Source organism: Homo sapiens, chromosome 5, assembly GCF_000001405.40.
Source record: "Homo sapiens chromosome 5, GRCh38.p14 Primary Assembly".
NCBI lineage: Eukaryota > Metazoa > Chordata > Mammalia > Primates > Hominidae > Homo > Homo sapiens.
Window position 1 is genome coordinate 140,879,055 of NC_000005.10, and position 27,755 is coordinate 140,906,809.

At 37.8% G+C, this 27,755-nt stretch overlaps 13 protein-coding genes and 1 further gene across 17 annotated transcripts in view, besides 1 other annotated feature; all 14 read left to right on the plus strand.

Moving 5' to 3' along the window:
* Window positions 1–27,755, plus strand: part of PCDHA@ (protocadherin alpha cluster, complex locus) — a 226,209-nt gene that overhangs the window by 92,919 nt on the left and 105,535 nt on the right.
* The window catches only part of PCDHA1 (protocadherin alpha 1), a 226,208-nt gene that overhangs the window by 92,915 nt on the left and 105,538 nt on the right, over window positions 1–27,755 (plus strand). The gene's annotated exons all lie outside the window — the stretch shown is intronic.
* Window positions 1–27,755, plus strand: part of PCDHA2 (protocadherin alpha 2) — a 217,496-nt gene that overhangs the window by 84,203 nt on the left and 105,538 nt on the right. The window lies entirely within an intron of this gene.
* PCDHA3 (protocadherin alpha 3) overlaps window positions 1–27,755 on the plus strand; it is a 211,291-nt gene that overhangs the window by 77,998 nt on the left and 105,538 nt on the right. The gene's annotated exons all lie outside the window — the stretch shown is intronic.
* Window positions 1–27,755, plus strand: part of PCDHA4 (protocadherin alpha 4) — a 205,280-nt gene that overhangs the window by 71,987 nt on the left and 105,538 nt on the right. The gene's annotated exons all lie outside the window — the stretch shown is intronic.
* PCDHA5 (protocadherin alpha 5) overlaps window positions 1–27,755 on the plus strand; it is a 190,735-nt gene that overhangs the window by 57,442 nt on the left and 105,538 nt on the right. The gene's annotated exons all lie outside the window — the stretch shown is intronic.
* Window positions 1–27,755, plus strand: part of PCDHA6 (protocadherin alpha 6) — a 184,388-nt gene that overhangs the window by 51,095 nt on the left and 105,538 nt on the right. The gene's annotated exons all lie outside the window — the stretch shown is intronic.
* PCDHA7 (protocadherin alpha 7) overlaps window positions 1–27,755 on the plus strand; it is a 178,079-nt gene that overhangs the window by 44,786 nt on the left and 105,538 nt on the right. The window lies entirely within an intron of this gene.
* Window positions 1–27,755, plus strand: part of PCDHA8 (protocadherin alpha 8) — a 171,161-nt gene that overhangs the window by 37,868 nt on the left and 105,538 nt on the right. The gene's annotated exons all lie outside the window — the stretch shown is intronic.
* The window catches only part of PCDHA9 (protocadherin alpha 9), a 163,966-nt gene that overhangs the window by 30,673 nt on the left and 105,538 nt on the right, over window positions 1–27,755 (plus strand). The window lies entirely within an intron of this gene.
* PCDHA10 (protocadherin alpha 10) overlaps window positions 1–27,755 on the plus strand; it is a 156,451-nt gene that overhangs the window by 23,158 nt on the left and 105,538 nt on the right. The gene's annotated exons all lie outside the window — the stretch shown is intronic.
* Window positions 1–27,755, plus strand: part of PCDHA11 (protocadherin alpha 11) — a 143,391-nt gene that overhangs the window by 10,098 nt on the left and 105,538 nt on the right. The gene's annotated exons all lie outside the window — the stretch shown is intronic.
* PCDHA12 (protocadherin alpha 12) overlaps window positions 1–27,755 on the plus strand; it is a 137,040-nt gene that overhangs the window by 3,747 nt on the left and 105,538 nt on the right. The gene's annotated exons all lie outside the window — the stretch shown is intronic.
* The window catches only part of PCDHA13 (protocadherin alpha 13), a 130,224-nt gene continuing 105,538 nt past the window's right edge, over window positions 3,070–27,755 (plus strand). Inside the window, exon 1 of one of the 2 annotated variants that reach the window (NM_018904.3) lies at window positions 3,070–5,608. In NM_018904.3, the coding sequence (NP_061727.1) occupies window positions 3,215–5,608 (2,394 nt within the window). In that variant the 5' untranslated portion in view covers window positions 3,070–3,214. Of the gene's footprint in view, window positions 5,827–27,755 lie in introns of those variants that run through there. The other variant, NM_031865.2, reaches the window with a different exon arrangement.
* Window positions 4,705–5,289: an enhancer, noted in NCBI's record as "H3K27ac-H3K4me1 hESC enhancer chr5:140263344-140263928 (GRCh37/hg19 assembly coordinates)". NCBI's record gives its function as "activates a minimal SCP1, AML or CMV promoter by ChIP-STARR-seq in naive H9 embryonic stem cells {active_cell/tissue: H9 hESC(naive)}" and the evidence as "EXISTENCE:reporter gene assay evidence [ECO:0000049][PMID:30033119]".

Genomic DNA, 27,755 nt, shown 5'->3' on the forward strand with positions numbered 1-27,755 from the left:
ACCAAGAAAGTGTTAAGAGAGATAAGTAGGAACAACTGCACAGTATATGGTGTAATTGAAGGATTAGAGCAGGGGAGATTGTGAAGGCAGGAAAGCTATTTCTTTTTTAATAAATTAGGTATCAAGTAATGGAGACTTAAATTATGGCAGTAGAAATGAATTGAAAAAGACATATACAAGAGGCACTGGCAAAGTAGAAGCAGCCAGATAATGACAGACTCAATACAAATGATAAGAGAAAAACAAAAGTAGAAGTTGACTCTCACTTTTTTAGTTTGTTCAGCTGAGAAGATGACATTGCCATTAACCAACCTGCAGAACAAGGTTGGAGAAACAGTTTGTGTGTATTTGAGCAGGTAGGGAATGGAGATGAACATTTAAGAAAATGTTACTTTGAAGTCCTAAGAGAATACCGTTGTGATTGGAAATATGGGTCTGGATCTCAGAAGAGATTATTGATATAGATTTTGGGAACAACTCCTTTAGAGAAAAAAATAATCCATGAAAGAATAAAATTGCCAAGACAGACATTGAAAAGTGAAAAACAATGTGTCCAGGTACTTAGGTGGGTAAGTGTGTCGCTTCCTGTGGCTGCTATAACAAACGAACACAAACTGGGTGCTGTAAAACAGCAAAAGTTTATTATTTCTCAGTATTGGAGACCAGAAGTCCAAAATCAAGGTGTTGTCAAGGCTATACTCTCTTTGGAGGCCCCAGGGAAGAATCTGGTTTTTGTTTCTTCCAGTTTCTATTGGCTGTTGGTGTTCCCTGGCTTGTGGCTGTACCACTCCCATCTCAGCCTTCTCAGCTTTCATGGTCACATTGCCTCCTCCTCTCCATGTCTCTCTCTATGTGTTGGTTTTACAAAGGTACATGTGATTGTATTTAGGGCCCATCTGGATAATCCAGGATAAACTCCTTTCAAGATCCTTAACTTAATCATATTATTCACCATATAAAGTAAAATCCACAAGTTCCAGGGATTAAGATGTGGGCATAACTTTTTGGGGACCACAATTCAACCTATTATAGTAGGCTTAAAATCATAGAAGGATAGACAACAGGAAGCTGAAATAAAGCTCAAAGTGCAATATATCAAGTATATGTTAGAAGTTAAACATGAAGGGAAAAAGATAAACAGAAGAGGTTTTCCACCAGAAGTAGAACATTTAAATTAGTGTATGTGCGTGTGTGTATGTATACATATTTTAGTTAAAGAAGTTTGACTATCTTCATAGTGTGAGTGAAAGAAACAAGTAAAAAATAAGATACTAAAAATAAGACAGGCAGCAGGTGAATTTAGATGAAAACCATGAGAGAATAGAAAATAATTTTTAAGAGCATATGGTTGACCTTAAAAGCGGGAACAGTTTTTCCTTACAACTAGTAGAAAATGAAAACAGATAATATAAGGAAAAATGACACAAGAAGAGAGCAATTGAATTTCTGTTTGGTCACATCTCTCAATGTGTGAATCATCTGAAAGTGAACTGATGGAAATGAGGTTGAGAATTTGAGAAGAGAGGAAAGAGAATATGGAAGAATCTCTGTAAGCAAGAGGGAGGAGTTAATTATCAATTCACTTGAGAGCCCAACTGAGGTAAAGGTGAGAGTAAATTTGAAGAGAATAGTCATGGTTAAGTGACAATGTTGAGCAGCTTAATAGGAAGCATAGAGAAAATGGATTGTCAGTGTAACTGCGTGTTGGAGGCTAAAAAGAATGTTAGAGGAGTAATATAAATAGGTGAATGACTCTAGAGTGTCTGGAAGGGCATATTTTAAATGGTTGACTATGTAGTCTAATTATGTGAAGAGGTAAATAAAGAAATGTAGGGCCAGATAGAAAGAATTAGAAGAGAAATACTATGTTAGTAAAAGTAATGGAGCAGGAGAGGATGATGAGGGTAAGAGAATACCAAATACTCTGCCTAAATTTTCAGAGGAGAGCAGAGCTATGGAAATAAACCCAACAGTCATTTCCTATAGAGTTGTGCACAGAACAGGCCAGATAATTATTGGAGCTATGATATATTTTTCATTACACCATTTGGCCTGGGATTTTGTGGCTTGGTAGAGATAGTTATAACAATAGATAAAAGTAAGATCCTCTTCCTCTTTTCCTTGCTAAAGATATGTTAACATCTTTGTCTAGCTGTTGTTTCTTGGAAAATTAAAGTCAATTTAAATGACGGCAAGGTTTTACTCAGTGATGATGAAGTAAGATGGAGAGAGAAAATGGAAACTTTAACCTCCTGGTTAAATTCTATTTAACCAGGACGCCGATTCGGGCTACAATGCGTGGCTTTCGTATGAATTGCAGCCGGCGGCGGTAAGTTAAATTCTATTAAATCAATAGGATATTAGTTCCAGGCATATTTTATAAAAACAGAATCCAAAACCTTAGAGCATTGTTGTGGCTAAATTATTGTGTTTATGCACATACACACACTCACATACAAAATCCCACACATATTGACTGAACACTTTCTTTTGAATATAAATATCTTATCTACATCTCAAGTCACATTGAGGGAAATTTATTAATATGATGTGCTTATTCAAAATCTGATATATCAGTTACCAATATTTTTCACCTTCACCGATTTTATTCTTATGTGATTGTTATGTTTCCTTTTGGAGTCAATGGCTGTTGTGTGAGGAGGTCTTGAAAAATATTACAGGAAGAGGACAGTACCACAAAAACCTACATGACTATGCAGAACTACCGATCAATTGTCCCAAAACGAGTGTCGAATATTCTTTGTCTTAAAGTTCTGCATGGAATTCTTACACATGGAAAAATAAATTTGTGGCAAAATGAAACTCATCAACCAATTGTCAGCTAATATAAAATGTTGAGCAGAATGCAGTGATTTGCTGTTTCTGGGAAGGTAAACATTTAATCTTCAATTACATATTTGCAGTGAAAATGTCAGGAAATGCAAGGGGCAAAAAAATACTACATCAATGGAAAATATGAAGACTGAGTCATACTTACACTTACACGTTCATGCGCATGGTGTCGCTCTTCACTGAGAACGTTTCCGCGAAGAAAGCCGCCGTTTCTTTCTTCCTGCAGAAAATATAGCAGAAAGCGGAATACCTCTTGCGAATCCTTCCGCACTAGGAAGCCATAAAAATTGGGCCTTGAGAGACAGTTTGAGGTAAGGCGTTGTATATATTGCAGATAGCTCTGAGGTTTTTGGAGTGTACCATGCTGTCTTCCTGGCAAGGAGGCCCAAGACCGCGGCAACTACTGCTCTGGCTTCTGATCCTCGCAGCCTGGGAGACGGGTAGTGGCCAGCTCCACTACTCCGTCCCCGAGGAAGCAAAACACGGCACCTTCGTGGGCCGCATCGCTCAGGACCTGGGGCTGGAGCTGGCGGAGCTGGTGCCGCGCCTGTTCCGGGTGGCGTCCAAAAGACACGGGGACCTTCTGGAGGTAAATCTGCAGAATGGCATTTTGTTTGTGAATTCTCGGATCGACCGCGAGGAGCTGTGTGGGCGGAGCGCGGAGTGCAGCATCCACCTGGAGGTGATCGTGGACAGGCCTCTGCAGGTTTTCCATGTGGAGGTGAAGGTGAGGGACATTAACGACAACCCGCCCATATTCCCTGAAAGCAAGAAACGAATAATCATTGCAGAATCTAGACCTCCGGAAACTCGATTTCCACTAGATGGCGCATCCGATGCAGATATTGGAGTAAACTCGGCATTGACCTACCGACTGGATCCCAACGATTATTTCACTTTGGACGCACAAAACAGTCTTGAGCAAATGTCTTCATTATCACTTGTACTGAGGAAAACACTGGACAGAGAGGAAATTCAGGAACATAGTTTATTACTGACAGCCAGTGATGGAGGTAAACCCGAGCTGACTGGCACAGTTCAGCTGCTCATCACGATTCTGGACGTGAATGACAACGCCCCGGAATTTTACCAATCCGTTTATAAAGTGACGGTGTTAGAGAACGCCTTCAATGGAACATTAGTGATCAAGCTAAATGCCACAGATCCTGATGATGGTACAAATGGAGATATAGTTTACTCATTTAGAAGGCCTGTATGGCCTGCAGTGGTATATGCATTTACCATAAATCCGAACAATGGAGAAATTAGGACAAAAGGCAAACTAGATTTCGAAGAAAAGAAATTATATGAAATATCCGTGGAGGCAGTTGACAAAGGAAATATTCCAATGGCGGGTCATTGTACCCTTTTGGTGGAAGTACTAGATGTAAATGATAACGCCCCAGAGGTTACCATCACTTCTTTGTCACTCCCCATCAGAGAAGACACTCAGCCTAGCGCCATTATTGCCCTAATCAGTGTGTCCGATCGTGACTCTGGCTCAAATGGACAGGTCACCTGCACCTTGACGCCGCATGTCCCCTTCAAGCTGGTGTCCACCTACAAGAACTACTACTCATTAGTGCTGGACAGCGCCCTGGACCGCGAGAGCGTATCAGCCTATGAACTGGTGGTGACCGCGCGGGACGGGGGCTCGCCTTCGCTGTGGGCCACGGCCAGCGTGTCGGTGGGGGTGGCCGACGTGAACGACAACGCGCCGGCGTTCGCGCAGCCCGAGTACACGGTGTTCGTGAAGGAAAACAATCCGCCGGGCTGCCACATCTTCACGGTGTCTGCTCAGGACGCGGACGCACAGGAGAACGCGCTGGTCTCCTACTCGCTGGTGGAGCGGCGGGTGGGCGAGCGTGCGCTGTCGAGCTACGTGTCGGTGCACGCGGAGAGCGGCAAGGTGTACGCGCTGCAGCCGTTGGACCACGAGGAGCTGGAGCTGTTGCAGTTCCAGGTGAGCGCGCGCGACTCTGGCGTGCCGCCTCTGGGCAGCAACGTGACGCTGCAGGTGTTCGTGCTGGACGAGAACGACAACGCTCCGGCGCTGCTGACGCCCGGGGCTGGCAGCGCGGGAGGCACAGTGAGCGAGCTGATGCCGCGGTCGGTGGGTGCAGGCCACGTGGTGGCGAAGGTGCGCGCGGTGGACGCCGATTCGGGCTACAATGCGTGGCTTTCGTATGAATTGCAGCTGGCGGCGGTCGGCGCGCGCATCCCGTTCCGCGTGGGGCTGTACACTGGCGAGATCAGCACGACGCGCCCTCTGGACGAGGTGGACGCGCCGCACCACCGCCTTCTGGTGCTGGTGAAGGACCACGGTGAGCCCGCGCTGACGGCCACGGCAACGGTGCTGTTGTCGCTGGTGGAGAGCGGCCAAGCGCCACAGGCTTCGTCGAGGGCGTCGGCAGGCGCTGTGGGTCCAGAAGCGGCGCTGGTGGATGTCAATGTTTACTTGATCATTGCCATCTGCGCGGTGTCCAGCCTGTTGGTGCTCACGTTGCTGCTGTATACTGCGCTGCGGTGCTCGGCACCGCCCACCGAGGGCGCGTGCGCGCCGGGCAAGCCCACTCTAGTGTGCTCCAGCGCGGCAGGGAGTTGGTCGTACTCGCAGCAGAGGCGGCCGAGGGTGTGCTCTGGGGAGGGCCCGCATAAGACGGACCTCATGGCCTTCAGTCCCAGCCTTCCTCCTTGTCTGGGTTCTGCAGAGGGAACAGGCCAGAGGGAGGAGGACTCAGAATGCTTGAAAGAGGTAAGCTTATATTTTAAAAAATTGTCTTAGTAAACACTTTAGCCTTCCTTGCAGTTGTTTGTTTAAGACATCTTTCCTGCCAATTTCAAATTATTCTTTACTTTAATTTTAATTTTGCTAGTTGTTATCGAATTTAACAACTCTGCTGTGGACATTATGTGTTGGATTATCCTTCAGAGTGAAATCTTAACTCACAAACCATAATGAAATGTGCAAAACAAGAATATTTTGTTTCTGTTGTATTCTTAATAGTTCTAAGTATTTATCTTGCAATTGAGCATTTACAAAAAATTCCTCACGTTGTGAGAACTTAAACATTTAGAAAATGTTTGTTTTAATGAGGCTAATCGTAATCTTAAATTTAAAAAATTTTTAGTTTAATGTATACATATACCCACAAGATATTATTTTAAAGAGCCCCATAACTTTTCACATAAATGCTTTTTTTAAGTGCACTTTTCTTTCTTTCTTTTTTTAAACTGTTTTGATTGTCTCTACTTTTTTGTCCTCTAGGCACATCAGTGTTCCCCTCTCATATATCCCATGAAAAATATCTTGTGATTCTGCTTTCAATTTTTTATTTGCATTCAGATAATTACTCATACATATATATATACATATATAGAGAGAGACCTGGTAGGCTTTTTGTTATTATTTCTTTTCCAAAGTTTGAAGGGATTTCCAAAAGGTACTGGTGACTGAAAGTACCTTTTGGCAGTCCCTGCAAATCTAATGGTTTTAATAGCTGTGTAGTATTCCACAGTGTAAGTGTGCAATTATATATTATTTACCTAATGATGGGCAATCACTTTGTGTCAAGTGTTCTGTTATCTTCATGAACCATGCTGTGCTATCATTTCATATATTTCCCAAAATATTGGTGTTATTTCTACGAAATTGATTGTCAGATGTGGAATTGATGCATCAAAGATATTAATAATTTTAATTATAAAATATGTCACTGGATTGCCTTCCAAGTATTTTGGAACCAACCAGTTATGAGCACTCTTTCTATCTCAAGAAGCAATAGTGGTTTTACTTTCTGCTAATGTGATCTCTGTGAAATGATATTTCACTGTTACTTTAATTTTAAATTCCTGTATAGTATTAGTGAATTTGAGCATATTGTCATATGTATTTTGTTGATTTGTATTTGATCTTCTTTGATTTATCCATTAAGTTATTTGCCTACTTTTCTATTGAAAAAAAATTTTTAGTTTCAGTTTGGAAAAGTTCTCTGTACCTTATAGATATTAACTGTTTATCTATTTTTTGACATTTTTAATTAAAATTTTTATTTTGAGATAATTATAGATTCGCATGTGGTTGAAAGAAATAGTAAAGGGAGATGCTATGTATTCTTCACTAAGTTTTCCCCAATAGTAACATCTTACAAAAGCGTAGGGCCATACCACAACCTGGATATTGACATTGATACAGTAAAGAAGTAACATAGTTCCGTAACAACCAGATTCTTGATATCACCTTTTTATAGCCACATCTGCTTCCCTGCCTAATGCTGGCAAGCAGTAATCTGTTCTCCATTTCTCTAATTTTGTTACTTTTACTTCAGAAATAAATAAAAGTATCTCTATTTATAGATAAAATTTTTTAAAATTATTTTTATATTTATTTATTTTTTATTACACTTTAAGTTCTGGGATACATGTGCAGAACGTGCAGGTTTGTTACATAGGTGTACATGCCATGGTGTGCTTATCTATTATCTGCATCACAAATATGTTTTCCTCCTATATTATTTCTATTCATTTGTTTGTACTAATTTTGTCATATATAAATGTTTTTAAAATGTATGAATTAAAATATATCTTTTTCCTTTTATGGATTTTAAGGTCTGCATATTCAGTTAGAAAGGTCTTCCCAGCTGGGCACGGTGGCTCACGCCTGTAATCCCAGCACTTTGGGAGGCCAAGGTGGGCGGATCAGGAGATCAGGAGTCCGAGACCAGCCTGGCCAACATGGTGAAACCCTGTCTCTACTAAAAATACAAAAATTAGCGAGGCATGGTGGCACGCGCCTGTAATCCCAGCTACTTGGGAGGCTGAAGCAAGAGAATTGCTTGAACCCGGGAGGTGGAGGTTGCAGTGAGATGAGATCATGCTACTGTACTCCAGCTCTGGGTGACAGAGCAAGACTTCGTCTTGAAAAAAAAAAAAAAAAAAAAGAAAGGTCTTCCCAACTCCTATATTGAACATTCATTAATTAAATGCATTTAATAAATACTTATTGAGTGTTCTCTATGTGCCAGGCATGTTCTACACATTAGACATTTAGCAACGAAATTTATTATTTTGTAAATCCAAATTTCCAGTTGGTATCACTTTCCTACTGCCTGAAAAATTTCTTTAATATTTTTTATAGTGCATATGTTCTGGCAACAAATTCACTCAGCTTTTGTCTGAGAAATATCTTTATCTCTTTTTTTTTTTTTGAGACGGAGTCTCACTCTGTCGCCCAGGCTGGAGTACAGTGGCGTGATCTCGGCTCACTGCAAGCTCCACCTCCCGGGTTCACGCCATTCTCCTGCCTCAGCCTCCCGAGTAGCTGAGACTACCGGCGCCCGCCACCACGCCCTGCTAATTTTTTGTATTTTTAGTAGAGATGGGGTTTCATCTTGTTAGCCAGGATAGTCTCGAACTCCTGACCTCGTGATCCACCTGGCTCGGCCTCCCAAAGTGCTGGGATTACAGGTGTGAGCCACCGCGCCCGGCTCTTTATCTCATTTTTATTTTTGAAAAAGTATTTTCACTGGGCATAGTTGACAGTTTTTTAAAAGATATAATTCAGTTGTCTTCTGGCTTGCATAGTTTCTAATAAGATGTTTGCTTTTTTATATATGAGTCTTCCTCTCCCCACCCCTCATGGTTACTGTTAAAACTTTTCTTTTTATCCTGACTTTTGCAGATTGATTGTGATGTGCTTTAGTATGGTTTTCTTTATGTTAGTCTGTTGGGGTTTGTTGATATTCTTGGATCTGTGGATTTATCATTTTCATCAAATTCAGGAAAAAATCAACCATACTTCTTCTAATAGTTTTTTCTTTCCTTCCATCCTTTCTGAGACTCCAGTAACACATATGTTACAATGACACAGGTCATTGAAGCGTTCTTTATTTTTGTCCATTTCTTTCTCTGTGCCTCATTTTGAATATCTTTTATTGACATATTTTCCAAGTTCACTAATTTTTCCTTTTGTAGTATCATATCTGTTAATCCTAAACAGTGTATTCTTCATTTCAGAGACCATATTTATTTCTTATCTGTATAAGATTCTTTTTGTCTCTTTTAAAATTTATTTTACATGTCTCCACCGAATAGTCATCTTTTTATCTATATGTTTGAGCATATTAGTACATGTATAATAGATGTTTTAACTTTCTTGTCTGCTAATTTCAACATTTTTGTCCTTAGTTTGCTTCTTTTAATCTATCTTCTTCTATGGATATATTTTCTTGCTGTTTTGCATGACTGGTAATCTCTAATAAGATGCTAGACATTGTGAATTTTACATTGTCGGATGCTGGATTTTGTGTGTGTGTGCATGTGTGTGCGTGTTCCTTTAAAGCAGTAGTTCTTGATAAGAAACAGTTTTGTCCCCTCTACCCCCTACCCAGGAGATAATTTGGCAATGCCTGGATACATTTTTGGTTATTACAACTAGGGAATTGCTACTGGCATCTAATAATGGAGCTCTGAGATGCTGCTAAACACCATCCAATTGCTGCCAAACATCCTACCGTGCACAGGACAGCCGCCCAACAATAAAGAATTAGCTCAAAATGTCAGTAGTTCCACTGTTGAGAAACTCTGCTTTAAAGAGTCTTGGACTTAGTTCTGACGTGAAGTTAAGTTGCTCAGTACCAATTTATTCCTTTCAAGGCTTCATTTTAAGATTTGTTAGTACACATTCAGAGCAGCTTTTAGTGTAGCACTAATTCGGCCTTCTATTACAGCAATACTTTCCTGAGGACACCACCTAATGCCCTGTGCATTAAGAGGTCTCTCTTCTCTGATTGGTAGGAATGTGAAATATTTCCAGCCCTTTGTGAGCTCTAGGAATTATTCTACCCACTTTTTTTTTTAATTTTGAAGGGATAGCCTGATCTGGGGAGGTTGATCAGTGATCTGTGATCTGTGATCACATCACTCCACTGCAGCCTGGTGACAGAGTGAGACCATGTCTCAACATAAAAATTAAAACATTAGAATTGAGGTTTAATGTTATCAAATATTTTATCTGCATCTTTTGAGGGAGGTATAAATTTTTTCTTTGGCAATGTTAATGTGTTGAATTTATGATTTATGATTTTCTTATGGCAAACCAACCTCTACTTCCTTGGATAACCGTAATTTGATTATAATTTATAATCCTTTTAATATACTACTTATTTTGTTAAATTTTCAAAACAATTTTTTCATCTTTATTCCAGGTGATACTGATATGTCCTAGTTTTTCTTCCTAATTTCTTCTTTGTTAAGTATTCAAGTTATAAATAAGAATCTAGCATAACTTGAATACTTAACAAAGAAGAATAGTCTTTGAAAACTTCCAGAAAATTTTCTGTTTCCTGTAAAAGTTTGTATAATCTTTGAATTACTTCTTATTTGATTGGAGAACTCACTGTTGAAGTTATCTGTATCAGGATTTTGATTGGTGGGAATATTTCTGATTACTGACTCAATTTTAATAGTATAAGGACCATTCAGAGTTTAATTTACTCGAGTCAGTTACGTAGATAATATTTTTTCAGGTATTTTCCTGTTTAATCTAAATTTTCAGTTATATGCTCATACTTTCTACAGAATCTATAGTGATATTTCCCTTTCCATTCTTGATATTATTTTTGCTTCCTGTCTAATTTACTTTTCTTCAGAATTCTGCTTTCTGATTTTTGTTTTTGCTTTGAAATATTTTTATATTAATTATACTGATTCATTTCTCTTCTTTTCATTTGTGTTTGCAGGAGATGTCCTCTTCCCAGCCTTTTATTTTAAACCTTTTAGTATTATGGGCATATTCCACAAGTTCTTTGCTACTGTCTCACTGAGTAGCAGAGTCTAATTTTTCTTTCCTTGAACTTTGACTGGTCTTAATATTGGAAGTAACATTCTGGGATTTATGAAGTCAGGTCATAAGAAGTCTTACAGTATGCTTTGGTCTCTGAGAATATTTGTTTTGGGGGAAGCCTGCCACCATGTAAGAATTCTGACTACCTTGAGATTGTCATACTGTAAAGAAGCTCAAGCTGGACTTGTGAGAAGCCAAATGGATAGAAAAATTACTATCCAGTCTCCAGTTGTCTTAGCTTTCCAAGCTTAGGTGCCAGAAAAATGTAGAAGGCTTCAGGTGACTGTAGTGTGTTGGAGCTGGCTCTTTTACTGGCTTATGAGAACTGATAATGCAAATTTATTCCCAACTCTGGATTCAATGATGTCACTTTGGTAGCTTGAAATTGGCCATGGTAGGAGTATTTCTGCCACAGAAATAGGCAAATGCTACAAAACAGAGTTTTTTGTTTTTCTTTTTTCCCAGAGACCTAGTTGTTAAGCATTTACCAGTACACTACTGCACCTGATTGCAAGCAAGAACCACTCAGTTGAGTCAGAACCAGGAGAGGTAATATTAAGTTGTTTTAAGATATTAGGTAGTTGGGATGGTTTACTATATAGCAATGGATAACCTGAACAAGTACTCTTTCTTAGATAATCTATAAATTTTAACTTGAATATTTATTTAGTTTATATTTACAATACCTAGTGATATCTTTAGGCACAAATATTTCAATTTTTTGTGCGTTATTTTTGTCTCACCATTTTTATGTCTCTATTTCCTTCCTTTGTTGATCTTCTTTTGAAATGACTGAGTACTTTTTATTGTTCCATTTCCTTCTGTATTATTTGGAAGCCCTTTTCCGAATAGCTAGTGCTTACCCTAGAAAATTAAGCATGTATCCTTGATATATCAAAATCAAAAGTTAACTGAAACCCTTCCTCCTTCTGGGAAATGCAGGGACCTTACATTTTTAAAATCTTTTTAATCCCTTTTGACTTATATACTATTTCTGTCATGCTTTAAAAATATTTTAAAACCCCATAAGATATTAGTATTATTTTATACAATCAACATTGTTTTAAATGTACTTACATATTTACCAGTTTTGTTTCTCTTCCTTACTTCTTGCCCCTCTGACCTTTCATCAGGGATTATTGTCTTTCCATGTTAGAATAATTTGAGAGTTTCCTTTAGTCCAAAGATGCTGGTGAGGAATGATTTCAGGTTTTGTTTTTCTGAAAATGTCTTTATTTCATCATAATTATTGAAAAGCATTTTTTCTGAGGGTATAATCTTAGGTGTGACCCCCACAGCACATAGTAAATATTATTCCAGTGTCTACTGGTTTCCATTGTTGCTGTCAAGAATTTAGCTGTCAATCTAAATGTCATTCCTTTAAAGGTATTCTGTTTATTTTCCTTTGGCTGCTTTTCAGATTTTCTGTGTGTCTGATATTTTGCAGTTTTACCATGCTGTGTCTTTATAATCATCCTGTTCTGGATTCAGTAGGATTTTTTTTAATTTTTAATTTTTCCGTAAGTTATTGGGGGTACAGGTGGTATTTGATTACATGAGTAAGTTCTTTGGTGGTGATTTGTGAGATTTTGGTGCATCCATCACCTGAGCAGTATACATTGCACCATATTTGCAATCTTTTATCCCTCGCCACCCCCCACTCTTGCCCCCAAGTCCCCAACGTCCATTGTATAGGATTTTTGAATTTGTGAATTAATGCCTTTACATCACTTTGAGCATATCCTCAGCTATAATGTTCTCCAATGTTGCTTCTGTTCCATTGTATTTCTATAGTATTATTTTAGTACTCTAATTAAACATATTTTAATCTTATTACTCTATCCCATCTATTTCTACCTTTTATTTTAACACCTTTTGCTCTTTGGGCTTTATTGTGGATAGTTCACCCACCTTAAAGTTTAATAATTCTCTCTTCTTGCTGTTGTCTGAATTTGTACCCCCAAATTCATGTGTTGAAAATTCAATCCCTTATACAACAGTGTTGGGAGGTGGGGAATTTCAGGAAATGTTTAGATTATGAGGGATCTGCCCTCATGAATAAATTAACGGCACTGTAAAAGGACTTGATGGAAGGAGCCTGTCCCTCTCTTATGCTTTTGGCTCTGTCATGTGACGATGCAGCAAGAAGATCTTCACCAGATGCTGGTGCCTTGATCTTGGACTTCCCCTAGGCTCCAGAATTGTGAGAAGTAAATTTCCGTTCTCATAAATTACTCAGTCTGTGGCATTCTGTTATAGCAGCACAAATGGTCTAAGATACTTTTATTTATTCTTTTTCAAATTTATTGTTACTTTGTATAATTTCTAGTTTCCTCTCGAAACTTTCAAGCTTGGCATTTATATCTGGAACACAATAAGCTCATGGTTTTAGCGTCTATTTCTGATATGTCCAGTAACTGGGATCCTCATGGGTCTATTCCTGTGGTGTGTTTTAAAATTGTATCTTTATGGTGTTTTGTCTCCACATAAACCTGGTTATCTTTGATTTTGTGCTGAAAGTTGTATTAAACACTTCTTCCTGGAAATAATTTGGGGCTTATAACATTTTCTTTCTCCAGAATGGATTTTAATTGACTTTTGCCAGGCATCTTGGGGCACTAGCAATCATGGGTAATCTTAATCTATTTCAAGCTTCAGGTATTCTAGATAAAACCTCATTATCTAAAATTTACATGTATTCTTTAAGTACGGTTATTCAGTTTCCTAGCCAAACATGAGAGATTGTTTAAGAAGTTCCACCATGACTGGTAGACTCAGGATTCTGACTTTTGTTTCTCTAGTCCTTGGAGACTGTCAAAAGTATATCTCAGTATTCATTCACCTATTTTTTTCCTTTTATTTCCAGTTGGTACATAATAATTGTACATATTTATAGGATACAGAGTGACATTTTGATACATATATACAATGTATAATAATAAAATCAGGGTAATTAGCATATTCATAATCTCAAACATTTACCATTTTTGCATGGTGAACATTTAAAATCCACTCTTCTAGCTTCTTGAAAATATGTAAGAAATTATAGTTAACCATATTTATCCTACAGTGCTACAGTGCTGCAAAACACCACAACCCATTCCTCCTGTGTAGCTATAATTTCGTATCCATTAACCAACCTTTCCCCATCCTCCTTTTCCTTCACCCTTCCCAGCCTCTGATAAGCACAATACTACTTCCATGAGCTCAATAAAATTTTGTAGCTGCCGTATAAGTGAGAACATGTATTTATTTTTCTGTGCCTGACTTATTTCACTTAACATATGCCCTCCAGGCTCAGCCATACTGCCATGAATAACAGGATTTCATTCTTTTTTATGGCTGGATAATATTCCGTTGTGCATATACACCACATTTTCTTTATCCACTCATCTGTTGATGGATATTGAGGTTGATTCCACATAGTAGCTATTGTGAATAGTGCTGCAGTAAGTATGGGAGGTGCAGGTATCACTTTGACATACTGGTTTCCTTTTCTTTGGATAAATGCCCAATAGTGGAATTGCTGGATGATATGGTAGTTCTATTTGTAGTTTTTTGAGGGACTCCCATACTGTTTTCCTTAGTGGCAGTGCTAATTTACATGCCCACCAACAGCATTTATGGGACAGTGGCTCATGCCTGTAATCCCAGCACTTAGGGAGGCAGAGGCAGGAAGATCGCTTGAAGCCAGGAGTTCAAGACCAGCCTGGGCAACATAGCAAGACCCTGTTCTTCACAAAAAAGAAAAAAAAAGCAGTTGTAGAACTCCTTTAAGTATTTCTTGTAGGACTTATCTAGTTGTAGTGTACTTCCTCAGTTTTTGCTTGTTTGGGAAATACTTTATTTCTCCTTCATTTCTGAAGTATAGCTCTGCTTGGTATAGTATTTTTGGCTGATAGTTTTAAAAAATTTCAGCACTTTGGATATATCATCTCATTCTATCCTAGCCTGTAAAGCTTCTGCTGAGAAATCTGCTGTTAGTCTGATGGGAATTTTCTTATAGGTGACTTGTCACTTTTCTTTTACCGTTTTTAGAATTCCCTCCTTGTCTTGAGTCTGGTACCGTAGACTACTCAGCCATCCTGATGCCCTACCTCTTGTATAGAAACAACCCAGATCCAAAGTGGCCAGAAAGTTACTTTACCTTCTGAATTTGTGGTCTTTTTCAGAATCTCTACCTGTTAATTCTGCATGACTTTATTAGTCATTAGATACTTTTATAATTTTAAAATATCTCCAATTGTATGGTTGGTTCAAATTACCAGTTCTGCATACTGGTAATGTAAGTCCTCTGTTGAATTGATTTTTAAATACATTTATTTTATTCCAGTATCTTCTAGCTCCTGGTGTTGCAGATGAGAAGTTTCAAATAACTTGAAATAATTCCCTTCTATGTAATTATCCCTGATTTTGACTTTCTTTCCATAGTTATATATTTTTTCTATGCTATTATATTCTCATTTTAAAGATGTTGAATGACAATGTAATTTTCTTTTCTTTACAAGTGGTAGCTTATTTACAAGTATTTTTGAAGTTTATTTTCCTGGAAAGTTTTCTTAAATTATAGATTTTAGTATTTCTTCTGTTTTATTACTTCAGATTTCTTCTTCAATGGCTCCAATTATATTTGTATTAGATATTCTTTGCTTTTCTTTTGTAGCTAACACTCCTAAATCCTACCTAGCTCTTTTTTAAAAAATATTTTACTTTTTATTCTTGTTTTCATCTTATAGTTTTCTTTAGGCATTATCCATAGTGTTTATATGCTGTTATGTGCCTTCTGGTTTAGTGTTTACTTCTGAAAAAATTATTTTCCTTTTTTTTAATATTTTACTGAGTTTTCTCATCTCTCTTTTCAAAGCTTTTCTTCTCCAATCATATCATTACTGAGTCTCTCTAATTCTGATTTGTGTATTCTTGCATAGCTTTTCATTATTTTCTAAAAATGTTTAAGTTGTTTTCAAATATTACGTAGCAATTTGTGGAATTTTTTTTCTTGTGTGTATTTATTTCCTTTAGTGTAATTATTTGTCCTCTCCTTTAAAAATAATTTTATATCAGATTTGCCCATAATCCTTTTCTTATGCTCATTTTTATATGAAAAGTGCTCCCCCATAATTTTAGAAGAAACAGACCAGGATAATTTTCCTATCTTTGTTGCTCTATAGATTTCTATTCAGCTATTGTCATGAAATGATAAAAATATAATTTTTTAATGTCTTACTTTGTGACATCCTTTACCCTTTTTACTTGGACCTTTTTCCTTTGTTTAATTGTCCCCCACCCACACCATTCTGCTTCATATGGACTCAATTCCTATCAGTTCCTCCTCAGTATAGGGGTTTTTGCTACAAGAAGACATTTGTTAGTTGACAAGTTCATAGGGCTAAGACAGGTTTAGCACAATCCAATCTATTTGTAGTCCCTTCTGCTAAGTTTTGAATTTGCTTTTATTTCTAATATTTTACTGAGTTTTCTCATCTCTCTTTTCAAAGCTTTCTTTTTTTTCTTACTCAGGGATAATTGAATTAGGACCTTCGATTTCCCCCCTTCCACCCATGACTATTGTTCTCAAATTGTTTTACTATGCTTTCCAGTGAGTACTTATTGGCACTTTTTGGAGTTCTTCAATTCTCAACACCATCAAAAGCCCCATAACCTTCTTTTGCTTCCTCCTGAGACTCTTTTCATGTGCTTATTGGTCATTTCTTTATCCTCTTCGGAGAAATACCTATTCAGAACTTTTGCCCAATTTTTAATTGGTTTATTCGTTTTTCAATTGTTGAGTTGTAAGAGTTCTTTATATATTCTAGATGCAATTACTTTATTAGATATATAATTTGCAAAGATTTTCTCATTGAGGGTGTTGTCTTTTCACATTCTTTTTTAGCTCCCACTTATAAGTGAGAACATGTAGTATTTGGTTTTCTGTTTCTATATTAATTCACTTGGGATAATGGCCTGCACCTCCATTCAATGGGCTGCAAAGGGCATGATCTTTTTCTTTCTTTATGGCTGCATAGTATTCAATGACGTATATGTACAATACTGTATTGTATTGTATTGTATTTTTTTCAGACAAAGTCTCACTCTTGTACCCCAGGCTGGAGTGCAATGGCGCGATCTCGGCTCACTGCAACCTCCGCGTCCCGGGCTCAACAATTATCCTGCCTCAGCCTCCCGAGTAGCTGGGATTACAGGTGCCTGTCACCAGGCCTAGCTAATTTTTGTATTTTAAGTAGAGACAGGGTTTCTCCATGTTGGCCAGGCTGGTCTCGAACTCCTGACCTCAGGTGATCCGCCTGCCTCGGCCTCCCAACATGCTGGGATTACAGGCGTGAGCCACTGTGCCTGGCCAATGTACTGCATTTTATTTATCCAGTGCACCATTGATGGGCATTTAGGATTATTCTCTGTCTTTGCTATTGTGAATAGTGCCATGATGAACATACACATACATGTGTCTTTATAGTAGAATGACTTATATTCCTTTGGTTATGTACACAGTTATGGGATTTGCTGGCTTGAATGGTAAGTTCTTTGAGAAATCTTCAAACTGCTTTCCACAGTGGCTAAACTAATTTATATTCCCGCCAGCAGTGTATAAGCATTCCCTTTTCTCTGCAACCTCACCAGCATCTGTTATTTTTGACTTTTTAGTAATAGCCATTCTGACTGGTGTGACTGCAACCTCCACCTCCTGGGTTCAAGCGGTTCTCCTGCCTCAGCCTCCTGAGTAGCTGGGACTGTGCAGGCACACACCACAAAGCCCAGCTATTTTTCTTTTTTTTTTTTGTATTTTAAGTAGAGATGGGGTTTTGACGTGTTGGCCAGGCTGGTCTCGAACTCCTGGTCTTAAGTGATCCACCTGCCTTGGCCTCCCAAAGTGCTAGTATTACAGGCATGAGTCACTGTGCCCGGCCCTTTGCCCATTTTTTGATGAGGTTGTTTGTTTTTTGCTTGTTAATTTGTTTAAGTTCCTTATAGATTCTGGATATTAGACCTTTGTTGGATGCATAGTTTGCTGATATTTTCTCCCATCCTGTAGGTTGTCTGTTTACTCTGTTCATAGTTGTTTTTATTTTTTAATTTTATGGGTACATAATAAGTGTACATATTTATGGGGTATATGAGACATTTTGATACAAGCATGCAATGCACAATAATCACATCATGGAAAATGGAATGGCCATTCCCTTAAACATTTATTCTTTGCACAAACAAACCAGTTATGCTCTTTTAGTTATTTTTAAATATACAACTAAATTATTTAGACCATAGTCACCCTATTCTGCTGTCAAATACTATGTCTTATTCATTTTTTCTATTTTTTATCCTCATTAAAAATCTCCACTTTCTGTCCACACCCCACTAAACTTTCTAGCCTTTGTTAACCATTCTTCTACTGTCTATCTCCATGGGTTCAAAAAATATATTTTTTTATTATACTTTAAGTTTTAGGGTACATGTGCACAATGTGCAGGTTAGTTACATATGTATACATGTGCCATGCTGGTGTGCTGCACCCATTAACTCGTCATTTAGCATTAGGTATATCTCCTAAAGCTATCCCTCCCCCCTCCCCCCACCCCACAACTGTCCCCAGAGTGTGATGTTCCCTTCCCCTTCCTGTGTCCATGTGTTCTCATTGTTCAATTCCCATCTATGAGTGAGAACATGCAGTGTTTGGTTTTTTGTCCTTGCGATAGTTTACTGAGAATGATGATTTCCAATTTCAACCATGTCCCTACAAAGGACATGAACTCATCATTTTTTATGGCTGCATAGTCTTCCATGGTGTATATGTGCCACATTTTCTTAATCCAGTCTGTCATTGTTGGACATTTGGGTTGGTTCCAAGTCTTTACTATTGTGTATAGTGCCACAATAAACATACGTGTGCATGTGTCTTTATAGCAGCATGATTTATAGTCCTTTGGGCATATACCCAGTAATGGGATGGCTGGGTCAAATAGTATTTCTAGTTCTAGATCCCTGAGGAATCGCCACACTGACTTCCACAATGGTTGAACTAGTTTAGAGTCCCACCAACAGTGTAAAAGTGTTCCTATTTCTCCACATCCTCTCCAGCACCTGTTGTTTCCTGACTTTTTAATGATTGCCATTCTAACTGGTGTGAGATGGTATCTCATTGTGGTTTTGATTTGCGTTTCTCTGATGGCCAGTGATGATTAGCATTTTTTCATGTGTCTTTTGGCTGCATAAATGTCTTCTTTTGAGAAGTGTCTGTTCATATCCTTTGCCCACTTTTTGATGGGGTTGTTTGTTTTTTTCTTGTAAATTTGTTTGAGTTCATTGTAGATTCTGGATATTAGCCCTTTGTCAGATGAGTAGGTTGCGAAAATTTTCTCCCATTTTGTAGGTTGCCTGTTCACGCTGATGGTGGTTTCTTTTGCTGTGCAGAAGCTCTTTAGTTTAATTAGATCCCATTTGTCAATTTTGGCTTTTGTTGCCATTGCTTTTGGTGTTTTAGACATGAAGTCCTTGCCCATGCCTAAGTTCTGAATGGTAATGCCTAGGTTTTCTTCTAGGGTTTTTATGGTTTTGGGTCTAACGTTTAAGTCTTTAATCCATCTTGAATTAATTTTTGTATAAGGTGTAAGGAAGGGATCCAGTTTCAGCTTTCTACATACGGCTAGCCAGTTTTCCCAGCACCATTTATTAAATAGGGAATCCTTTCCCCATTGCTTGTTTTTCTCAGGTTTGTCAAAGATCAGATAGTTGTAGATATGCGGCGTTATTTCTGAGGGCTCTGTTCTGTTCCATTTATCTATGTCTCTGTTTTGGTACCAGTGCCATGCTGTTTTGGTTACTGTAGCCTTGTAGTATAGTTTGAAGTCAGGTAGCATAATGCCTCCAGCTTTGTTCTTTTGGCTTAGGATTGACTTGGTGTTGCGGGCTGTTTTTTGGTTCCATATGAACTTTAAAGTAGTTTTTTCCAATTCTGTGAAGAAAGTCATTGGTAGCTTGATGGGGATGGCATTGAATCTGTAAATTACCTTGGGCAGTATGGCCATTTTCACGATACTGATTCTTCCTACCCATGAGCATGGAATGTTCTTCCATTTCTTTGTATCCTCTTTTATTTCATTGAGCAGTGGTTTGTAGTTCTCCTTGAAGAGGTCCTTCACGTCCCTTGTAAGTTGGATTCCTAAGTATTTTATTCTCTTTGAAGCAGTTGTGAATGGGAGTTCACTCATGATTTGGCTCTCTGTTTGTCTGTTATTGGTGTATAAGAATGCTTGTGATTTTTGTACATTGATTTTGTATCCTGAGACTTTGCTGAAGTTGCTTATCAGCTTAAGGAGATTTTGGGCTGAGATAATGGGGTTTTCTAGATATACAATCATGTCTTCTGCAAACAGGGACAATTTGACTTCCTCTTTTCCTAATTGAATACCCTTTATTTCCTTCTCCTGCCTAATTGCCCTGGCCAGAACTTCCAACACTATGTTGAATAGGAGTGGTGAGAGAGGGCATCCCTGTCTTGTGGCAGTTTTCAAAGGGAATACTTCCAGTTTTTGCCCATTCAGTATGATATTGGCTGTGGGTTTGTCATAGATAGCTCTTATTATTTTGAGATATGTCCCATCAATACCTAATTTATTGAGAGTTTTTAGCATGAAGGGTTGTTGAATTTTGTCAAAGGTCTTTTCTGCATCTATTGAGATAATCATGTGGTTTTTGTCTTTGGTTCTGTTTATATGCTGGATTACATTTATTGATTTGCATATATTGCATCCCAGGGATGAAGCCCACTTGATCATGGTGGATAAGCTTTTTGATGTGCTGCTGGATTCGGTTTGCCAGTATTTTATTGAGGACTTTTGCATCAATGTTCATCAAGGATATTGGTCTAAAATTCTCTTATTTGGTTGTGTCTCTGCCCGGCTTTGGTATCAGGATGATGCTGGCCTCATAAAATGAGTTAGGGAGGATTCCCTCTTTTTCTATTGATTGGAATAGTTTCAGAAGGAATGGTACCAGTTCCTCCTTTTACCTCTGGTATAATTCGGCTGTGAATCCAATATTTTGTTTTGTTTTTCCTTTTTGAGACAGGTCTTGCTGTGTCACCCAGGCTGGAGTGCAGTGGTATTAACAGAACTCAGTGCAGCCTTGACATCCTGGGCTCAAGCAATCCTCCTGCCTCAGCCTCCTGAATAGCTGGGACCACAGGCATGTGCTGCCATGCCCAGCTACTTTTTTGATTTTTTTTGTAGAGATGAGGTCTCACTTTGTTACCCAGTTTGGCCTTGAATTCCTGGGCTCAAGTGATCCTTTAACCTCAGCCTCCAAAAGTGCTGCAGTTACAAGCATGCGCCACCATACCTGGCCTTGTTTTGATTTTTAGGTACCACAAATAAGTAAGAACATACGATATTTGTCTTTCTGTGCCTGGTTTATGTCACTTATAATGACATCCAGTTTCATCCAGGTTGTTGCAAATGACTGGATCTTGTTTTTTTTATGGCTGAATAGTACTCCATTGTGTATATGTACCACACTTTCTTTTCTGTTTTTTTAGACAGTCTCACTTTTGTCGCCCAGGCTGGAGTACCGTGGCGCAATCTTGGCTCACCGCAACCTCTGCCTCCTGGGTTCAAGCGATTCTCCTGCCTCAGCCTCCCAAGTAGCTGGGATTATAGGCACGTGCCACCACGGCCGGCTAATTTTTTATTTTTAGTAGACACGGAGTTTCTCCATGTTGGTCAGACTGGTCTCAAATTCCCAGCCTCAGGTGATCTGCCCACCTCGGCTTTCCAAAGTGCTGGGATTACAGGCGTGAGCCACGGCACCGGCCCATTTTCTTTACCCGTTCATCTGATGATGGACATGTAGATTGCTTCCAAATCTTGGCTATTGTGAACACTGCTGCAATGAACAATGGGAGTGCAGTTATCTCTTCAATATACTGATTTCCGTTCTTTTGGAAAGAAAGGAAATCCTACCTAGCAGTGGGATTTCTGGATCACTTGGTAGCTCTATTTTTGGCTTTTTGAGGAAACTCCAAACTGTTCTCCATAGTGCTTGTACTAATTTACATTCCCACCAACAATGTACAAAGTTTCCCTTTTTTTCACCTCTCCAGCATTTTTTATTGCCTGTCATTTGGATAAAAGCCATTTTAACTGTGGTAAGATGATATCTCATTGTAGTTTTGATTTGCATTTCTCTGATTATCAGTGATGTTGAGTATCTTTTCCTATACCTGTTTGCTATTAGTATGTCTTCTTTTGAGAAACATCTATTCAACTCTTTTGCCCATTTTAAAATTAGATTATTAGATTTTTTTTTCTATAGAGTTGTTTGAGCTCCTTCTACATTCTGGTTATTCATCACTTGTTAGATGGGTAGATTGTAAATATTTTCTCTCAATCTGTGGGTTGTCTCTTCACTTTGTTGATTGTTTGCTTTTCTGTGCAGAAGGTTTTTAAGTTGATGTGATCCCATATATCCATTTTTTTCCTTTGGTTCCCTGTGATTGTGGGGTATTACTCAAGAAATTTTTGCCCAGACTGATGTTCCGGAGAGTTTCCCCAATGTTTTCTTGTAGTCGTTTTATAGTTTGATGTCTTAGATTTAAGTCTTTAATCCATTTTAATTCAATATTTGTATATGGTGAGAGATAGGGGTCTAGTTTCATTCCTCTGCATATGGATATCTAGTTTCCCAGCACAGACTGTCTTTTCTCGAGTTTATGTTCTTGGCACCTTCATCGAAAATGAGTTCATTATAGATATGTGGATTTGTTTTTTGGTTCTCTATTCTGTTCCATTCATCTATGTGTCTGTTTTTATGCCAGTGCCATGATGTTTTGGTTACTATATCTCTATGGTATAATTTGAAGTCAGGTAATGTGATTCTTCCGGTTTTGTTCTTTTTGCTCAAGATACCTTTAGGTATTATGGGTATTTTGTAGTTCTATATACATTTTCAGATTGTCTTTTCTATTTCTGTGAAGAATGTCCATGGTATTTTGACAGGGATTGCATTGAATTTGTAGATTACTTTGGGTAGTATGAACATTTTTACAATATTGATTCTTCCAGTCCATAAACATGCAATATCTTTCCATTTTTTTGTGTCCTCTTCAATTTCTTTCATCAGCATTTTATATTTTTCATTGTGGAGATCTTTCACTTCTTTGGTTAATTCCTAGGTATATTTAGTTTTATTCGTGGCTATCGTAAATGGGATTACTTTTTAATTTCATTTTCAGATTGTTCACTGTTGGGACATATAGAAATACTACTAATTTTTGTATGTTGATTTTGTATCCTGCAACTTTACTGAATTTATTGTTTTAATAGTTTTTTGGAGTCTTTAGATTTTTTTAAAACTGAGATTATATCATCTGCAAACAAGGATAATTTGATTTCTTCCTTTCTAATTTGGATGTCCTTTATGTCTTCTCTCTCTCTCTCTTTCTTTTTTTTTTTTTTTTTTGAGATGAGGACTTGCTTTGTTGCCCAGGCTGGTCTCGAACTCCTGGGCTCAAGCAATCCTCCTGCCTCAGCCTCCCAAAGTGCTGGGATTACAGGTGTAACTCACTTCGCCTGGCCTAGGAAGCCCTTTATTTCTTTCTCTTGTCTAATTGCTCTAGCTAAGAGTACTATGTTGAATACTATGTTGAATAACAGTGGTGAAAGTGGGCATCCTTGTCATATTCTAGATCCTAGAGAAAAGGCTTTGAGTTTTTGCCTGCTCAGTATGATACTAGCTGTGAGTCTGTCATATATGGTTTTTATTATGTTGAGGTATGTTCCTTCTATACCCAGATTTTTGAGGGTTTTTAAGATTTCAATAGTTTTGGGAAACAGGTCGTTTTCAGTTACATGGGTAAGTTATTTAGTGGTGATTTCTGAGATTTTGGTGCACCTGTCACCCAAGCAGTGTACACCGTACCTAATATGTGTAGTCTTTTATCTTTCACTCCCCTCCCACCCTTCCCTCCAAGTCCCCCAAATCCATTATATCATTCTTATGTCTTTGCATTCTCATAGCTTAGCTCTCACTTGTATGTGAGAATATACAATATTTGGTTTTCGATTTCTGAGTTACTTCACTTAGAAAAATGGCGTCCAGGTCCACCCAAGCTGCTGCAAAAGCTATTATTTTATTTAGTTTATGGCTGAGTAGTATTGCATGGTGTATATATACCACATTTTCTTTATCCACTTGTTGGCTGATGGGCATTTAGGTTGGTTCCATATTTTTGCAATTGTGAATTGTGCTGCTATCAACATGGCTTGCACATGTGTCTTTTTCATGTAATGACTTCTTTTCCTTTGGGTAGATACCTGATAGTGGCATTGCTGGATCAAATAATAGCTCTACTTCTAAATCTTTAAGAAATCTCCAAACTGTTTTCCATAGTGGTTGTGCTGGTTTACATTCCCACCAATAGTATAAAAGAGTGTCCTTTTCACCACATTCATGCCAACATCTATTACTTTTTGATTTTTAAATTATAGTAATTCTTGCAGGAGTGAGGTAGTGTCTCATTGTGCATTAGGAAATTTAGTATACAATAAAGACAGCATTTTTATTGAGGAAAGGATGCATTTTAAAAAACAAGTTTTTCAAAAATATAGGGAGGATTGTGGTTACTTCTAGAAACAGTAGTGCAGTCAGGAAAAATTCAGCACAATATGTATCAGTGGAATTCATCTGATCAAACTTAAAATATTATTCCTTGCATTATAGTTCTGAGCAGGTACCATAGATAATAGTTCTATTGTGTTGTTCACTTTAAACTAGAGCAAGAAACTTTTCTAATAAGTGGAATTGGGAGCTGTCTAGCTGGTGTTGGCCTGATAAATGCTTAATACACATGAATGTGCATGCATATGTATGCATATACCATATACATATATTATAAATTTAACTGATATAAAAGATGTTTGGTAAATAGTTTAAAATAGTAATAAAATATACAATTCTCCCTATTATCAATTATTACAGAATGTTTCCCTTGATTTTTGCTGAACTTTTCTATCCATAAACTATCTATGGTTGTAATTGACAAGTATAGTTCTCACATGAATGTCTGTTGGTATTTTCATTTATCTTAACAAATAATATAGAGTAAAATGACAAAGACATTGAATCTTGACCTGTTTGTCAATGATGTGACTTCCTTGCTGCATTGGATAATACCTCTTAAATACTGGAAAATTATTTGTTGATTTTTGGTCTATTCACAATGTAACAGCTACAAATATGATACACTTTAAAAAATAATGGTATAATTTAACTTTTTAATTTTTTTATTTCAATGGGTTTTTGGGGAACAGTATTTGGTTACATGAATAACTACTTTAGTGGTCATTGCTGAGATTTTGGTGCACCCATCACCCGAGCAGTATACATTGCACCCAGTTTGTAGTCTTTTATTCCTCACCCCCTTCCCACCCTTTCCCCCTAAGTCCCCAAAGTCCATTGTATTATACTTATGCCTTTGCATCCTCATAGCTTAGCTCCCACTTATGAATGAGAACATGTGGTGTTTGGTTTTCCATTCCTGAGTTTCTTCACTTAGAATAATGGTCTCCAGTTCCATCCAGGTTGCTGAGAATGCCATTATTTCATTCCTTTTTATGGCTGAGTAGTATTCCATGGTGTATTATATATATAATACATATATTTTATATATATGTATATTACAATTTCTTTATACACTTGTTGATTGGTGGCTATTTGGTCTGATTCCAAATTTTTACAATTGTGAATTGTGCTGCTATAAACTTGTGTGTTCAAGTATCTTTTTCATATAATGACTTTTTTTTCCTCTGGGTAGACACCCAGTAGTGGGACTGCTGGATCAAATAGTAGTTTTACTTTTAGTTCTTTAAGGAATCTCCACACTGTTTTCCATAGTGGTTGTACTAGTTTACATTCCCACCAGCAGTGTAAAATTGTTCCCTTTTCACCACATTCTGGCCAACATCTATTATTTTTTTATTATGACCATTTTTGCAAGAATAAGATGGTATCACATTATTGTTTTAATTTGCATTTTCCTGATAATTAGTGATGTTGAGCATTTTTTTATATGTTTCATATCTTCTTCTGAGAATTGTCTGTTTATGTCCTTAGCTCACTTTTTGATGGGATTTGTTTTTCTTACTGATTTGTTTGACTTCCTTGTAGGTTCTGGATATTAGTCCTTTGTCTGATGCAGAATTTGTGACTATTTTCTCCCACTCTGTGGGTTGTCTGTTTACTTTGCTAATTCTTTTCTATGCAGAAGCTTTTTAGTTTAATTAGGTCCCATTTATTTATTTTTGTTGTAGTTGCACTTTCTTTTGGGTTCTCAGTCATGAATTGTTTGCCTAAGCCAATGTCTAGAAGAGTTTTTCTGCTGTTATATTTTAGAATTTTCATGGTTTCAGGTTTTAGATTTAAGTCTTTGATCCATCTTGAGTTGATTTTTGTGTAAGGTGAGAGATGAGGATCCAGTTTCATTCTTCCACATGAGGCTTGGCAGTTATCCCAGTACCATTTCTTGAATAAGGTGTCCTTTCCACACTTTGTGTTTGTATGCTTTGTTGAAGATCAGTTGGCTGTAAGTATTTGACTATATTTCTGGTTCTCTGTTCTGTTTCATAGGTCTGTGTGCCTATTTTTATACCAGTACCATGCTGGTTTGATAACTACAGCCTTTTAGTATAATTTAAAGTCAGGTAATGTGATGCCTTCAGATTTCTTCTTTTTGTTTTGTATTGCCTTGGGGATGTGGGCTCTTTTTTGGTTCCATATGAACTTTAGGATTGTGTTTTTCTAGTCATGTGAAGAATGATAATGATATTTTGCTGGGAATTGCATTGAATCTATAGATTGCTTTTGACAGTATGGTCAGTTTCACAGTATTGATTCCTGTCATCCATTAACATGGAACATATTCCATTTGTTTGTGTCATTTATGATTTCCTTCAGCAGTGTTTTGTAGTTTTCCTTGTAGAGATCTTTCACCTCCTTGGTTAAGTATATTCCGAAGTGTATTAGTCAGGGTTCTCTAGAGGGACAGAATTAATAGGCTAGATGTGTATATAAAGGGGAGTTTATTAAGGAGTATTAACTCACACAATCACAAGGCCCAACAATAGGCCATCTGCAAGCTGAGGAGCAAGGAATCCAATCTGAGTCCCAAAGCTGAAGAACTTGGAATCCGATGTTCAAGGGGAGGAAGATCCAGCATGGGAGAAAGATGTAGGCTGGGAGGCTAAGCCAGTCTAATCTCTCCACGTTCTTCTGTCTGCTTTTATTCTGGCTGCACTGGCAGCTGATTAGATCGCACCCACCCAGACTGAGAGTAAGTGTGTCTTTCCCAGTCCACTGACACAAATGTTAGTCTCCTTTGATAACACCCTCACAGACACACCCAGGAACAATACTTTGCATCCTTCAATCCAATCAAGTTGACACTCAGTATTAACCATCACAAGTCCTCCCCTTGTCAACTTGAACCCATACACACCTCCTGAAATTATAGATAATCTTCAAATTAAGACAATAATAAGGTCATAATTATTCCCAACATGATACAACTATCCTTCATACAACCAAGAATGCACCAATTCCCAACCCAAATGCTATTACATAAAGTTAACATTTAAATTTTCATATGAAGTCAATAAATCTTATGTCACATGATAAACAAGAAAGGAAATAAAATGAAGATATTTTCTTAGTACAAATGTATAAATGCACAAACATGTTTTTAACAAAGAAGGAGGAAATACTCACGACAATTAAAATCCTCATTTCTGCAACTGGTTGTGTGGTTCATAGCTGGTATTGATGACTACCTTCCTCTACTACTCATTCTGTATTCCCTTTGCCTTCAGCAAGCACCTCAGCAGGTAGTGGTTTTTTCCTGGTGTAGTGACCCAAACCTTCATTCCTGAAGGATCTGGGCCATTTGTAGTCCTGCCTGGATTGTGCTGTTGTAGTTTCCCATTGACACAGGGCATGGTAATACTAAGAGACACCCTAAGGGATCTTGTGTATTCCATGCATACTCTTCCTTACC